Genomic DNA, 17,380 nt, shown 5'->3' with positions numbered 1-17,380 from the left:
TGTAGGTATTACTAAAGATTACTGAAGATCATGGCAACATTTTCAAAACTTTTTGAAATTATATTTTTCTTAGCATGAGGTTCTAAATACTTTCACCAATAATATTTTTCAAAGAAAAGAGAAAATATAGACTGAACTATACAATTAATAAATAACATAAACAATAATTTAAAAATCAAAATATATACTAAATTTAATTACGTTATAAAATAGAATAAAAACATATAATTAGTCATCAATAGCTTTCAGATTAAACTGAATTTCTTAAAACTAAATTCAAGTGTTCTATTAATTGTTTCTCAAATTATGTATAGACATTTGCAATTGGAAAAGAAAGTAATGTGAAAGTTGAACCATTTTAACAGTGAAAAAATCATTCTGAAGTAAATACTGCCGCCTGCACAGAATGGTCTGTGTTTGCCAAAGCAAGAACTTGTTTGAGGCTGTGTGTTTTGGGTGGTGAAAAAGTGGTTACCTAGCAACAACTCCTCCTCCCAAGTCTCCCCTGCTAGAGCGGTATTTTGCACGTCAGTAAATTGGTTACTTGTTTGATGGATCTAAAAAGAATAATTCAGTAATGTGGTAGGGTGTGAATCTCAATCATAAAAACGTACAGGTTTTTCTCTGTGTGGGGTCTGTCTACTGCCCACTCCTCATCTGGTGTTGCTAGAAGCTTGTCTAAAGAGATTGAATAATACCTAAAATGTTATTCATCAAATGAAAATGAGGGAAACTTCAGGCATTTTAATTAATAACAGTTCTTTTCAGTTTGCTTATAAAGCAAGCAATGAAATAGTTACTTAGTCCACAATAGCATTAGCTCTGGGCAAGAGGTAATCTTATCACGATGTTTCCTCAGATGTCAGACAGCAAAGGATGGGGTGGGTTCCGTAGAAATAGAGTTTAAACAATCTGTACAGTTTACAGATAACAACATTATACCATCTGAAGGTAAAATTAATGAGATACTAATTTATAGAACAAACACATAAGGTATTTATGTTTACAACAAATGAGCTTAAACATATGTTAGCAATAACTTAGCTAGAAAATATATACTTTAGTAAACATCACACCATGTATTTGGTCCACCTATGATATGCATCACAAATAAATGCCACTTATTCTTTAACCTAATGGATATTTGTTTCTAGGGACAACCCTACAGGGTGCATGCATGCATAATTAAGGAAATAGGTAATCTGAATAAAGTGAAATGATAAAGACACAACCACAGACTCTGCCAGCAGAAAAATTAAATACAGCAAATTAGTTTGTGTGTTTTCAAAGCATGAAGATATAAAGTTTAAAAAAATCTGTTAGAGGAACACTCCAATGCCAAGTATGTGGGAGCAAATAGAATAGCAAAGAAAAAAGACTGGTTTATAAAATTTTCCATGATGCAAAGAACTGAAGCCAATTTCTCCCCAGACAGAGCCCTGATGCTCTGGGCTGCTGCTAGCCAATGTGCAGGGACCTGTCACTTGCACAGTAGCTTTCTGAGACTCACCCTGTATCCCTTCTCCCACATCCCAGCACACACTGAATGCCATTTCCTTATTAACTCCAGAGCAAAGAAATTCTTTGCAGAGCAATAATTGACAGTTGGAGTTACAGCTTGACTTCTTTCCTTTGAAAAATTGCTAAGCATTTGTTTTAGAAAGGCACACTCTTCAGATTCCAATGAATCAGAATCCGACACCATATTTTTCACAGTTTTTCACCTCCGAGAATATCATCAGTTTAGAAAAAGGAATGCTTTCCTTTGAAATAACCAATGTTACCAATGTTACTTTAGATGTTGGCCTGATTTTGGAAACTATTTTGTACAAACGTACTAGAAGTCAGGCCTTTTAACCATAAATGTCATTTCAGAAGCGCCTTATTATTTGCAAAAGTCATAACTGAGAGTGACTCTGAATATCCAAGGAATTATCCCCATCTGTTCCTAAGTGCTTTAACTGGTCAAATGTCAGATATTAAAGGGAAGAGAGCTGAGAGACCAGGAAAGATCAACTGTTCCAGCAAAATATTTAGACTAATAATTTATTAGAACATAAAGGATTATACTGGGAAAACTATCTTATATCAAATGCATCAATTTGTAGTGAATCTTTTCTAAATGTAATAAGTATCATAGGTATAACATGTCAAAGAAAAAAATTAAAAAGCAAGAAAACATGTTTTTGCATGTTAAAAAGAGTAATTTGAAGCAGAAACTTCTCCTCTGTAAGTTACGTTATTCTGAAAACTCAGAAACATATTTTTATTCATCTAGGTGATCAGGAGATTTTATATTAGGAACTGACAGGGATCAGTTTCGGGGCTTATCTCGGTGAGCCTCTGAGCCCCCACAAAACAGCAAAGCTAATCTCTAGTGGTCCAACAGTTAAAATAATTGATGAGCATGTGTTGAATCCTCAAGAGAGGAGGGAGGAAGCAAGAAGGAAAGCTTGAAGGGAGGAGGGGAGGGGGGCAGGTGCTGATTTCAGCCCTGTAGCGTCAGGATTGCGTCAATTCGGGTTCCAGCCACGTCTGGAGTCTCGGAGACGAGCTTCTCAGAAGAGCCAAAACAGGAACCGAGGTGGCAAATCACTGTGCGAGGGCGAGTGGACCTCCCTCTTTGCCTCCTCCCTGTTCCAGGAGCTGGTGCCCTGGGCTCTGCGCTGTTGTTTTCAGCGCTCCGAAAGCCGGCGCTTGAGATCCAGGCAAGTGAATCCAGCCAGGCAGTTTTCCCTTCAGCACCTCGGACAGAACACGCAGTAAAAAATGGCTCCGATCACCACCAGCCGGGAAGAATTTGGTAAGCAAGTTACTGAACTTATGACTGCGGTTATTCCTTGAATACTCTGGGGTGGACTGTTTATTCATTTATTTTTTGCCCGGTTGTTGAATACAGATTTCCTAGGTAGTTAATTTAAAAGGAAAATGAGAATGGCAGTCAGGCAATTGTGGCTTATTTCTGCAGCTTCTCTCCCTTCCTTGGTATCTCTCTCCCTGAAACTGTCTTCTGTTAGGGAGAATTTACCTTCAGGAAGTTCTTAAATTTTCAGGTACTTCTGTAAATTGCAGCATGTACTGAGTAAAGAAAAAGGGGTCTGTTTTTCCCATGTTGGTTTCATCTATTTTGTAGGTGATTCTTATTTGTAGGTAAATCTATATTTTATTAGGAGAAGATAAATATATCTCTGGTTACATTGGGGTTTGATCTTGGTTAAAAAAAGCAACTTGTCTATTGGGGTTTGGCAATGTATATTTTATTACAGGGCGTACCATATGGGTGTTTTTCTCTGCTATGTTTTTCTTGTATCCTTGAAATATGTTGCTAGTGAAAGACAGAATCATATGGTAGCAGGGTTAAAGAGAGTTTCAAAATGAACTGGCTCAGCCCATTTCATTTCACTGCTGAGCTAACCAAAGCCCAGAGAGATGAGGGAAGTATTATAGGTTGCACAATTAGCTAAAAGCTGCTGGAAACTTGAATTAGGGCTCCAATTTTCCCGTTCAGTTTTCCTTTTCTCACACCAAGTTTTTGGTTTCAGTACATAAAATTAGACGTACTTCATAGAGTAAAAAAGTACTATTTTTAGATCTCAGTATATTCCAAAGGAAAAAGGTCAGAATTTTACTTACACGTATTTTTTAAATCATGAAATTTCATAGAAGGTTGTGAAGAGGAGTGATATCTACAGATGTGTGATAATTGTTATTAAGCTGAGTAAAATAACTATGATCTTGACTTTCAAGATTGTAAGACCTTATCAGTAGAGAATACATAGGGAGTAGATAAGTGTTTCCACGTTATAGAAAATGTTTGCCATTTGACATAACTATTCAATAGGGACAATTTGTGATATTATGTTCATAAATGAATTTCTTTCCCAGCCTTCCATTTGGGTTATTGGGTTTATTTTGGTATGACATTTATTCCCAATTCTTCATTTGAAACCTGAATGATTTTCTAATATGGAGGAATTTTTAGAGACTGTGCCAGTGAAAATATGTTCTAGCATGGACTATCAGTCTACTTTTAAAAAATGATTTTCTACTGTTTTTATTGTTTTTACATTGGCTAAAGAACTCTCTCAGTTCATGACTTTGCTTTTGCTCCCTGGCCTTGGGTTATTATGGTCCAGGAATGTGGGTGCATTTTTTTTTCACAAAGACTTGAATAGAAGGAAAAACTGAAAAGCTGATACCAAGTTTAGCTGATTATCTTTAGCTCTTGCTTTATACTGTAGTAGTCACTGTTTCTTTTTTCCACCTGGAGAAGTCAAAGGTTTATTTCATCTTTACATGATTCAGTTTCTGTACATTAAAATACAGGATTTTTATTGCGATTTTATTGGCCTTTTTATCTTCTATTTCATTTGTCTTTTCTTAACCTTACATTCTCTGAGTTCAGTTTTATAATTGTGAAGTAGATTGGCAGAAGATTTGGGGGGATGGGGAAGGGAAGTAACAAAAGACTGGATTTCTTGTGGTTATTTAGAAAAGTTTTAACCCTTTCTGGGCTGGAACTTATAACTTTATTATTTACTATTCAGGATAAAAGCATATTGCAATGGAACTAAATGTATATAATATTACATTAGTTATTTTCACTTTGATGATATTAAGCATTGACTCTATGGATTCACTATGTATAGATGTAGTAATACTGCTTTTACTTCCATAGTGTTACTAACCATTTGTTCAAGAAAGATGCTTACATATAAAATAGGATAAGCCTTATGCATAATTGATATTACCTAATGTCAGTAATTTAATGTGCCATCATTCAAGAAAATAATGACAATTTCAGTTTGATTATCATTTGCCATGCCATGTGCTAGAGGAAGAGACAGTTATAGATAAAATTGAACTCTAAATCTCACTGTTCTCATTACATGTTAAAGAATGCTGATTCACTTATAACCATTGTTCTGTTTTTATCTTATTTAAGTTTAATTAATTTATACTTTGTATAATTCAGTGTTTGACTGAGAAATTTGGGATTGTCATACAAAGGGATGATAGTGTTATAAGTTACAAAATATCGGTACCTTGTTGCTCTTCTGTTTTTGTTTTACTTTCTCTAATATATGTATATTTCTTTTACCACTGTTCCATAATTGGGATGAAAATTATTAATGAGTTTGTGGCAATGGCAAATATCATTTCACAATCAATTTCCTACAATTGAGTGAACCACTGAGTCCCTAAATGTTTGCTGCTTGAATTCTGAGTAAAGAACTACTTAGAATTCCAGTAAAAAGTGATGCTCTGGAAAGCCTCAAAATGACAATAAAAAATAATGAAGTTAGTACTGATCCATCATATTGTAGCTGTCTCATGTTATCTGAGAAAACAAAGATAGGTCAGAGTCATTAAGCATTCCCCCATATCTGATTCAGGACCATTTTCATCTTTTTATTTCATTAATGAAAAACCACTGAAATGAAGGAATTTCTAGCACACTTTATGTTTTTCCTGTGGGGATGTATTTGTACCCGAAGTTAGTGTGAAATATACACTTAACTCATACCCAGAACAGTTGGAAAGTAATTCAATCTATCCAACCTATAGCAATTGCTAGCTCTATTAGGCTTTTCAAAAGGCTCATATCTCCAGCTCTGCTTCTTTAATGTATATTATTGGTCATTTGATTTTTCAGATGAAATCCCCACAGTGGTGGGGATCTTCAGTGCATTTGGCCTGGTCTTCACAGTCTCTCTCTTTGCATGGATCTGCTGTCAGAGAAAATCATCCAAGTCTAACAAGACTCCTCCATACAAGTTTGTGCATGTGCTTAAGGGAGTTGATATTTACCCTGAAAACCTAAATAGCAAAAAGAAGTTTGGAGCAGATGATAAAAATGAAGTAAAGAATAAGCCAGCTGTGCCAAAGAATTCATTGCATCTGGATCTTGAAAAGAGAGATCTCAATGGCAATTTTCCCAAAACCAACCTCAAACCTGGCAGTCCTTCTGATCTGGAGAATGCAACCCCGAAGCTCTTTTTAGAAGGGGAAAAAGAGTCAGTTTCCCCTGAGAGTTTAAAGTCCAGCACTTCCCTTACTTCAGAAGAGAAACAAGAGAAGCTGGGAACTCTCTTCTTCTCCTTAGAATACAACTTCGAGAGAAAAGCATTTGTGGTCAATATCAAGGAAGCCCGTGGCTTGCCAGCCATGGATGAGCAGTCGATGACCTCTGACCCATATATCAAAATGACGATCCTCCCAGAGAAGAAGCATAAAGTGAAAACTAGAGTGCTGAGAAAAACCTTGGATCCAGCTTTTGATGAGACCTTTACATTCTATGGGATACCCTACACCCAAATCCAAGAATTGGCCTTGCACTTCACAATTTTGAGTTTTGACAGGTTTTCAAGAGATGATATCATTGGGGAAGTTCTAATTCCTCTCTCGGGAATTGAATTATCTGAAGGAAAAATGTTAATGAATAGAGAGATCATCAAGAGAAATGTTAGGGTAATTTATTTTCAGTGCTTAAAGTATTTATAAACAATCTTTTATGTAGCATTTTGGTGTCTAAGGAATTTTTATTAATATGATAAGCTTGTACATATCATCCTTACCATGTTTAATTATTATTAATTATAATCTAATGGAGATCAAGGGAATAGAACAGATGAAATAAAATTTAATCCATAACTGAAATACTCAAAGTGTTTTAATGATGTAAAATAAATAGGCATTCTTTATGGATATTTAGATATCACCTATATAAATACTTTTGTTAATCTCTATCATAAATATTTTGACAGACACTGCTACTTTAAAATACAGGTGAATATTTCTTATTCATAAGCAAGTTAACAAAGAGATTTCAAGGTCAACATAATTGAATTTAAAATTGAAATTTAAAATTAAATCAATTCTTCCTGAAGATTTGGAAATTGTATTGACTTTCCATGGAATTGCCTTTCAAGGAAGAGGCATCACGTCATTTTCAATTATAAATGCTCATCTCTAAATTGTATAGTAGGAAATGAGTCCCGCTATTTTTGTAGTTACACTACTCTGGTAGTTCTGGGTTTATTAGAAAATAGTAAGACATCAATGAAACAAATTTAACCCCATTTTCACTTTAAATTTGAAACTCGATTTCAACAGTGGTATATCAGAATAACTTCTCTCTATAATACAATGATTTATAAAAATCAATAGACATACTAATTTGTGTTTTTTAAACAACATAGTGTTTCAGAGCTGAAAACCTGAGAGCTCATTTTGACTGTCTCCTCTCCTATTGAAATTAATGACGGTCAAGGTTCAGATACATTCCACAGCTTGTTTGAGACACCCGGCTGGTTAAGTGATACAGTGGGAATAAGGATCTTTCTTCTACTCTTATTCTCCTTAGAGTGCCTACTTATACAGCTGTCCCATATTAGTTTTTGTATAAATATATTGCAGTTTTAGTTTTGTGTCAGCCATCACTCTCAGTTGCAAACAAACACCAAGTTAATATATTGTTACTTTCAGTCAAAACTTTTACTTTGAATTATTGTATATCTTATCTATTGTCTTTAAAGTACAAATGAAATCTAAGTAGCACGCAAAGAAGGACGCTATGACACTGTCCAAAAACAATGCTCTCCAATGCTTAAGATCAATTCATTCCTTGGCTTAAATGGAAACTTGCTGTTGTGAAAGAGGCAGAGAATTTTAACTCCATTATCCCTCTGGGCCAGGAATGTAGTTGGGATCAGAATAATTCTCACTGGGTCTGAGTTCAAATTTCAATATGTCGGTGCTAAAGAATTTGAAATCAAATCAAACTTATCTAATTTTTTGCATGAGTATGTGTAGTCATTTGACCCAACACATACTCATGCAAAGAATTAGATAAGCTTTATTACTATTAATAACTTTGAAAAGTAGAGATGTTATTAAAAACCAAAAGCCAAAAATAATCCTGTGTAGGATATAATTTAAATATCCTTTAAACATTTCTAAGTAATGGGTGTGGCCAATTTATTGCCAATTTTAACTTCCTGTAGTACCAAACAAGACCACAAGATGGCAGGCAGTGGTTTTTCAAGCAGCGATGGTACTGCTCAAAAGCTTTTAGTTACTCTTCAATTCCTTAGAATATTAAAATAAAAATAAGTAAGATTATATTTAAATGACGATGTTATTTAAACTTTAATGAAAGTACACACTTCAAAGTTAAAAAGATAGAAATACTTATATCACATTTCTCTTTCTGCAGAAGTCTTCAGGACGGGGTGAGTTACTGATCTCTCTCTGCTATCAGTCCACCACAAACACTCTAACTGTGGTTGTCTTAAAAGCTCGACATCTGCCTAAATCTGATGTGTCCGGACTTTCAGGTAAGAATGCTTCTGAAATATTCAGATTCACTGTATGATTGGAATGTATTTGACTGCAAATGAGCCCACCTACTCTTACTCTTCTATCTTTTCTCTAATACCTTATGTATCTGCTATAAAAGTTAGCTTTTAGTTTTATGACTAGCTTTACAAAAAATGAAACAAAACGCCAATTTTATGTTGTATAGCACAATGAGAAACAAAATAAGCTACAGTTTAAAATTACCTGAGTTCAAATCCTAACCCTTCCATTCACTAGCAAAATATGATTGGGTATGTTTCTTAAACTGTACAAACTGGACATAATGCTACTCATCCTGAGGGGCCTTGTGAGAACTAGAAATACATACTTCTTCAGATATCATCTAATAATATTATTATTATTTAATGATGGGAGTTGAAAACATGGTCTTAAAAGATTAGATTGTGAAGCTAAAATTAACTCATATGGTGCCACCAGAAAAAGGCAAAAGTAATTGTGATAAAGTAGCATGAACTTAAAATCTACATACTAACAATGACACAGAGAAGCTCAACACTAGGAAACAGAAAGCAAATCCAGCCTGTGACTAAAGAAATTCATAAAAGTTAAAACTAAAAAGAATATTGCCATTGTGGACTCTAAATCCTCATTCGATGGAAAACACAGCCAAAAGTCAGGGAAATAGACTCACCCAAAGTCATACAAGTCAGTAAAGCTACATGTTGTCTAATATATTTTTTTCCTTCTATCCTATTCTCTGGAGTAAGTTAATAGTAATCAGAATGGGTCCATAGAACATTCTATTTTCTTTCCTTTTGTGTTACTTCTTTTCCTATCATTAATTTTTTCCCTTATTCTCTAATTTAGAACTTTTTTCTCTTATTTTCCATATTCTTCCTTATTTTCAATTCTGTTGACAAGAGAAATGCCAAGTTTTATCCATATTTTTCTGTTGTTTTGACTTATTTTCCTGGTAACCACATGTCATTGGCATGCCATGATCTCTAAGGGCACTGTTATCTTGATATCAGCTCTCCAGCCCAGTTATGCCATTGTAATGCCTGTTATGTTCCACTGCAGATCCCTATGTCAAAGTGAACCTGTACCATGCCAAAAAGAGAATCTCCAAGAAGAAGACTCATGTGAAGAAATGCACCCCCAATGCAGTGTTCAATGAGCTGTTTGTCTTTGATATTCCTTGTGAGGGCCTTGAAGATATAAGTGTTGAATTTTTGGTTTTGGATTCTGAAAGGGGGTCCCGAAATGAGGTAATCGGGCAGTTAGTCTTGGGTGCAGCAGCAGAAGGAACTGGTGGAGAGCACTGGAAAGAGATCTGTGACTACCCCAGGAGACAAATTGCCAAGTGGCACGTGCTCTGTGATGGTTAGCATCCTAGCCGTGAGTTGGAACTTAAAGGTTTTTACTAGGCAAGGAGAAATTTTCTTTCTTTCTATATTGGATTGCAAGCTTGGGAAATCAAGCTACCTTTTTGTTGTTGTTGTTGTTGCTAGAAATGGATTGAATTAGTAGACCAGAAAGTAACTTCAAATGTGTATTATGATAATTTCCCTATTTATTAGAAGAGTTGGATAAATTTTCATAAGATATTCAATATCTCCTTCAGATTACCAGTGATATAACTAGGAATAGTCAGACATTTTATGAATACTGTGCCAGAATCCCAAATTATAAATGTGACAATCTCATTGGAACATGTCACAAAAAGTTAATGTGATTAAGATTTAAAAACGAAAAGTATGCCTTGCCTTGTGAAAATTTATCCATTTATCTTCAGGTTGGGGAAATCAATTTTTCTTTAAATCCAAAGATACTAAAAAAATGTCCTCCAGTTTGTATTTATTAATTCTGTCATGTGCAAATGGTTGTCCTGCATATAAAAGTATCTGGTCATTTCAGTTTGGTTTGTAATTATTTGATGCAATTTTATCATAAGAGTAACTCAGATTCATTTCAAAAGGACAGTGAACAAGCTGAGAAATTATTTTATCAAAGGGCTGAGTTGAGAACACTGTGGCTGAAATATAATTTTTCTCCCCCCTAAGGTTACATGTGAGTCAAAATTTTGTAAAATATAACCTCACATAAGAACCATGGCCTTGGATTATTCACTGCCTGTCACAAGCCTCAGTGTGGCCTGAGAAATCCCTATGTACCTTTGTGAAATTGTTGAATTAGTTAGTGAATAAAGAAATAAACTTCAACTAGAAATCCAGTTAGAAGTGCAATTTTCTTATAGGAAATAGGTATAGTGTGCAAGTGTACTTTTAAGGCCATCGTTTGTACCCAGAGTCGGCATGGCCACCTAAGTCTTCATTTAATTTATTGTCCCCCAGAAAAGATTAAGATGCTACTTGAAAAGACTGTGAAGATTTTTTACATTGCCAGATAAAAAGTGTTACTTAACCAACAAACAAATGTAAGACTACAAAATCGTTCAAGAGCAATTCTAATATAATTTACATATGTTCACGCAAAATATGCTTAGGCTGTCAAATTAGCACAACAAAGAATGTGTTTCACTATCTTTTCTAGGCTAATTTGTCTTGAGCTGTTGTCTATAGAGCAGTTTACAGACTTGTGTCTTGTATCATTTTCCAGTGCCAGGGTTCTGAAATTCATTCAGAACCTGTTAGATTAAAGCTGCACCCTGTGATTATTTGAAAAGAATTAGCTTGAGAGTAATGTCACTATATTTGAGTTCTTAGAGAAGTATGAGTGGAACTTGAGTACAGTTGAATTATTAAATATGCAAGTTAGAAATTAAGTCTACTGAAAAATTTACATTTTGAGTCAGGTTTTGTGTCAGTACTTTAGCAGTTTTTGAGAATGTGTTTGATATCACAGTGTTTGTAAATTCTATGAAAAATGCATTTTCCAAACAACTTATACATGCTTTTTATGACTATGCCTAATGTAAAGAAAATGTATTACATTCTGTATGTACAAAGATTAAAAATCAACCTCTTTTTTGTGCTTTAAAATGACTTTGGGATTAAAAAAGCATATTTCCCAATCATTGTCTTCATTCCACTACAAAGTCACCTCACAGCATCTTGCTCCACTCGGCATCTCTGTGAAAGCAACATGAAATGAACTGTAGTAGGTGTGTAGTTTGGGGAAGTCAAATGGCCATTTTATGTATGTGCATTTGGTATCATGGGCCGTGGAACAGAATATATGTTGGACCTCTGAAAAGTTGTAAGGGGCCAATTCTAAGTATTCTTCACGGCAGCCAGAAGTTAATGGTGGTAGCAGCTGAGGTATGGTTGTTGGACGAGGCCGATTTTTTTTTTTTTAACATGGAACAATGAAACCAACAACAAACATTTTTAAAATTAAAATGGATAATTTGTAAATAGTTTTTAGCTTTTAAAATTTAAAGTGTTTTTGAGTGTGAAAAGTTGAGTAAAACTATTTGCAACTGGTTTTCAGAAAAGAGAAAAGAAACAACAAAGGAATTGAAACAGGCAGGGAGATCTTAATACCTAATTTCATCATTTCTGAAAATGTACTGTTTTAGAATGTATTACAATATCAATGTGAATATCTTGAATCCTGTTACAAATCCTGCACTGTATTAAACATGTAAATTAATTGTTTGTCTGATTAGCCAATCTCACCACCCAAATGGGGAGGTATACATGTTTGAAGAACTGTGTAACTCAGTAATTGATTTGTTCTGATGTTGTAACTCAATAGAAGTGTTTTGGAAGGAAGCATGGTGTGTGAGACAGTGTCTGTTCTTTTGTGCCAGCTCTGTATGATGTTTGTAAGACCATGTTTGTAAGACATGAATAAATTGCTGCTTTTGCCCAACCCGTTTCAATGCAGACTTTCTGCCAATGGACTCTGTAATAAGGCTTCTCTTATTGCTGACTGAATTTTCAAGTTTCCCTAGTGGATCTCCTTGTATAGGTTAGGGACCATTAATTACTGAGCATCAGAATCTTTAATACACCTTTTAAAAAAATCTTCATAACAATCACCTGGAGCAGATATCATTAACCTTATTATACAGAAGCAAAACTTGAGGATCAAGGAGCATAGGCAATGGAATCAAGTAGGAAGGAATAGTACTCAAGAGGATTTCATGGCCTGCCCTGCCCTTCCCTCCATACCATTCCACTCTCCTCAAGGGGACCTCATCAACTGGCTTTGCTAGATGTTTAGGCTTATTCTCACATTCTTTGACTTTTTTCTAAATTTTATTCACTTTTCTATGTTTCATTTACTTTTCTCCCCAGTATTTTCAGCCACCATTCTTTATTTACTCTTCTATTTTTTTCCATTATCTCATTTCTTATTTTAACATCTTTCATTACCTATTTCATATCACTGCTTTTATATTCCTTTTTCTTTTTTTTCACATCCTGAGAAATATTTGATTAATAAAATGATGAGGACCTGGATGTCTTATTTTTTCTTAAAGAAGGAGGAAAAAACAGACCAGAACATCTATAATATATTATATTACCATTACACACCTGCTAAGGTAAATGGGAACAACAGGACCCACCACCTGGAGAATCAGACATTTTTCACAGCTCTAGTCTCTACAGAAATATTCTATGGTAATCACATGTTGAAAAAAACAGTCTTGCAAATGGAATAAAACTGGAATTTACTGTTAATTTATTTTGTTTCAAATTGTATTAATTGTAGTAAGAGTGTACATAGTTATGTTAAAAGAGACATTACATTTTAGAATTCAAGTATATTTTAAGAAAATGTACCTGCCAAAAGCAACTAGAGATGTGGAGGAGATTTTCTAAGGAAACTGGCCATTAGGGAAATGCTAACTAAAACCACAATAAGATACCCTGAACGCCAATTATAGTAACACAAATTAAAGTTTTGAAAATGTCGAGGGTTGACAAGGTTATGGAGGAAATGGACCCCTTGTACACTGCTAAAAGGAATATAGCATGTCCAACTGCTTTGGGAAGTAAGTTGTAATTTTCATAAGAAGTTAAAAATTTGCCTATTACATGACTTAGTCATTTTGCTCCTAAGTATTTACTTAAGACAAATGAATGCATACATTTATACAAAGACTTGCATTTTCATAGCAGCTTTATTTTTAATAGTAAAAAAACTGGAATCAAGTCAAATGTTCATCAACAGGTGAATGAACAAGAAAATTGTGGTTTATTTACACAATGGAATACTTCTCAGCAATAAAAGTTAATGACCCCTCGATACATACAAGTACCAAAATATCCATACGAGTACCAAAGTATACCAAACTGTATGCTTTAACTGTGTGCAGTGTATTATATATGAATTAAACCTCAATAAAGCTTTTTAATGGGAAATAGAAGTCAACTATAACCAAACCAAAAAAAGAAAACAATACTAGTATCACTGTCAAAAATATGATTCCCCAAAATTAATAATATTATATAACATATTTTAAGAGCAGTTCTTTTTGTTCTTAAGGTACATTATCCTAAGAATGATTAAATAGAGGATTGCTGGCAAGATGGCCGAATAGGAACAGCTCCAGTCTCCAGCTCCCAGTGAGATCAACACAGAAGGTGGGTGATTTCTGCATTTCCAACTGAGGTACCCAGTTCATTGCATTGGGACTGGTTGGACAGTGGGTGCAGCCCACGCAGGGTGAGCCAAAGCAGGGTGGGGCATCACCTCACCCAGGAAGTGCAAGGAATCAGGAAATTCCCTCCCCTACCCAAGGGAAGCAGTGAGGAACGGTGCACTGGGCCCAGATACCATGCTGTTCCCACAGTCTTTGAAACCCACAGACCAGGAGATTCCCTCCAGTGCCTACACCACCAGGGCCCTGGGTTTCAAGCACAAAAATGGGGGCTTCAGGAATTTTTATTTCATACCCCAGTAGTGCCTGGAATTCCAGCGAGACAGAATTGTTTACTCCCCTGGAAAGGGGGCTGAAGCCAAGGGGACAAGTAGTCTGGCTCAGTGAGTCCCACCCCCTCAGAGCCCAGCAAGCTAAGATCCACTGGCTTGAAATTCTCACTGCCAGCACAGCTGTCTGTGGTTGACCTGGGATGCTCAAGTTTAGGTGGCGGGGGGGAGGGGGAGTCTGCCATTGCTGAAGCTTGTGTAGGTAGTTTTACCCTCGCAGTGTAAACAAAGCCTCAGGGAAGTTCAAAGTGGCTGGAGCCCACTGCAGCTCAGCAAGGCCACTGTGGCCCTGCTGCCTCTCTAGATTCCTCCTCTCTGGGCAAGGCATCTCTGAGGAAAAAAAGGCAGCAGCCCCCGTCAGGAGCTTATAGATAAAACCCCCATCTCCCTGGGACAGAGCACCTGGGGGAAAGGGCTGTTGTGGGCACAGCTTCAGCAGACTTAAACGTCCTTGCCTGACAGCTCTAAAGAGAACAGCGGATCTCCCAGCACAGCGTTCAAGCTCTGTTAAGGGTCAGACTGCCTCCTCAAGTGGGTCCCTGACACCCATTTATCCTGACTGGGAGACAACTCTGAGTAGGGGCCGAGAGACACCTCATGCAGGAGAGCTCTGGCTGGCATCTGGCGGGTGCCTCTCTGGGATGAAGCTTCCAGAGGAAGGAACAGGCAGCAGTCTTTGCTGTTCTGCAGCCTCCACTGGTGATATCCAGGCGAAAAGGGTCTGGAGTGGACCTCCAGGAAACTCCAACAGACCGCAGCAGAGGAACCTGACTGTTAGAAGGAATACTAACAAACAGAAAGGAATAGTATCAACATCAACAAAAAGGACATCCTCTCAGAGACCCCATCTAAAGGTCATCATCATCAAAAGCCAAAGGTAGATAAATCCACGAAGATGGGGAGAAACCAGTGCAACAAGGCTGAAAATTCCAAAAACTAGAATGCCTCTTCTCCTCCAAAGGATCACAATTCCTCGCCAGCAAGGGAACAAAACAGGATGGAGAATGAGTTTGACAAATTGACAGAAATAGGCTTCCGAAGGTGGGCAATAACAAACTCCTCCGAGCTAAAGGAGCATGCTCTAATCCAATGCAAGGAAGCTCAGAACCTTGCAAAAAGGTTAGACGAATTGCTAACTAGAATAACCAGTTTAGAGAAGAACATAAATGACCTGATGGAGCTGAAAAACACAGTACGAGAACTTTGTGAAGCATACACAAATATCAATAGCCAAATCTATCAAGAGGAAGAAAGGATATCAGAGATTGAAGATAATGAAATAAAGCAGAAAGAAAAGATGAGAGAAATAAAATGAAAAGGAATGAACAAAGCCTCCATGAAATATGGGACTATGTGAAAAGACCAAATTTACATTTGATTGGTGTACGTCAAAGTGATGGGGATAATGGAACCAAGTTGGAAAACACTCTTCAGGATATTATCTAGAGGAACTTCACCAACCTAGCAAGACAGGTCAACATTCAAATTCAGGATATACAGAGAACACCACGAAGATACTGCTCGAGAAGAGCAGTGTCCTAGTCTCTGATAAAACAGACTATAAACCAACAAGAATCAAAAAAGACAAAGAAGGGCATTACATAATGGTAAAGGGATCGATGCAACAAGAAGAGTTAACTATCCTAAATATCTATGAACCTAATACAGGAGCACCCAGATTTATAAAGCAAGTTCTTAGAGACCTAAAAAGAGACTTAGACTCCCACACAATAATAGTGGGAGACTTGAACACCCCCTGTCAATATTAGACAGATCAATGAGACAGAAAATTAACAAGGATATTCAGGACTTGAACTCAGCTCTGAACCAATCGGACCTAATAGGCATCTACAGAACTCTTCACCCCAAATCAACAAAATATACATTCTTCTCAGCACCTTATCACACTTATTCTAAAATTGACCACATAATTGGAACTAAAACACTCCTCAGCAAAGGCAAAAGAAAGGAAATCATACAAACAGTCTCTCAGACCACAGTACGATCAAATTAGAACTCAGGATTAAGAAACTCACTCAAAACCGCACAACCACATGGAAACTGAACAACCTGCTCCTGAATGACTACTGGGTAAATAACGAAATTAAGGCATAAATAAAGATGTTCTTTGAAACTAATGAGAACAAAGACACAACGTACCAGAATCTGTGGGACACAGCCAAAGCAGTGTTTAGAGGGAAATTTATTGCTCTAAATGCCCACAAGAGAAAGCAGGAAAGATCTAAAATTGACACTGTAACATCACAATTAAAAGAACTAGAGAGGCAAGAACAAACAAATTCAAAAGCTAGCAGGAGACAAGAAATAACTAAGATCAGAGCAGAACTGAAGGAGATAGAGACATGAAAAACCCTTCAAAAAATCAATGAATCCAGGAGCTGGTTTTTTGAAAATATCAACAAAATAGATAGACAACTAGCCAGACTAATAAACAAGAAAAGATAGAAGAATCAAATAGACACAATAAAAATGATAAAGGGGATACCACCACTGATCCCACAGAAATACAAACCACCATCAGAGAATGCTATAAACACCTCTTTGCAAATAAACCAGAAAATCCAGAAGAAATGGTAAATTCCTTTGAGGCAGTAATTAACAGCCTACCAGGCAGAAAATGTCCAGGACCAGAAGGATTCACAGCCAAATTCTACCAGAGGTACAAAGAGGAGCTGGTACCATTCCTTCTGAAACTATTCCAAACAATAGAAAAAAAAAGAAACATTTTATGAGGGCAGCATCATCCTGATACCAAAACCTGGCAGAGACACAACAAAAAAAGAAAATTTCAGGACAATATCCCTGATGAACATTGATGCAAAAATCCTCGATAAAATACTAGGGAACCAAATCCAGCAGCACATCAAAAAGCTTATCCACCATGATCAAGTTGGCTTCATCCCTGGGATGCAAGGTTGGTTCAACATATGCAAATCGATAAACATAATCCATCACATAAAGAGAACCAATGACAAAAAACACATGATTATCTCAATAGATGCAGAAAAGGCCTTTGACAAAATTCAACACCCTTCATGCTAAAAATTCTCAATAAACTAAGTATTGATGGAACGTATCTCAAAATAATAAGAGCTATTTATGACAAACACACAGCCAATATCATACTAAATGG

General features: G+C 36.2%; 1 protein-coding gene across 1 annotated transcript; it reads left to right on the top strand.

Moving 5' to 3' along the window:
• Window positions 1-2,560: 2,560 nt before the first annotated feature.
• SYT4 (synaptotagmin 4) lies at window positions 2,561-12,159 on the top strand. The gene is made up of 4 exons (NM_020783.4): window positions 2,561-2,803; window positions 5,657-6,471; window positions 8,219-8,339; window positions 9,403-12,159. Exons 1-4 carry the CDS (start codon window positions 2,770-2,772, stop codon window positions 9,708-9,710), a joined length of 1,278 nt encoding a protein of 425 aa, NP_065834.1. The 5' UTR covers window positions 2,561-2,769; the 3' UTR covers window positions 9,711-12,159.
• The last annotated feature ends 5,221 nt before the right edge of the window (window positions 12,160-17,380 follow it).

The sequence above is a fragment of the Homo sapiens genome, chromosome 18 (assembly GCF_000001405.40).
Source record: "Homo sapiens chromosome 18, GRCh38.p14 Primary Assembly".
NCBI classification, from domain to species: domain Eukaryota; kingdom Metazoa; phylum Chordata; class Mammalia; order Primates; family Hominidae; genus Homo; species Homo sapiens.
Note: the sequence above shows the minus strand (reverse complement) of the source record. Positions and strands in the feature narration are given on the sequence as shown.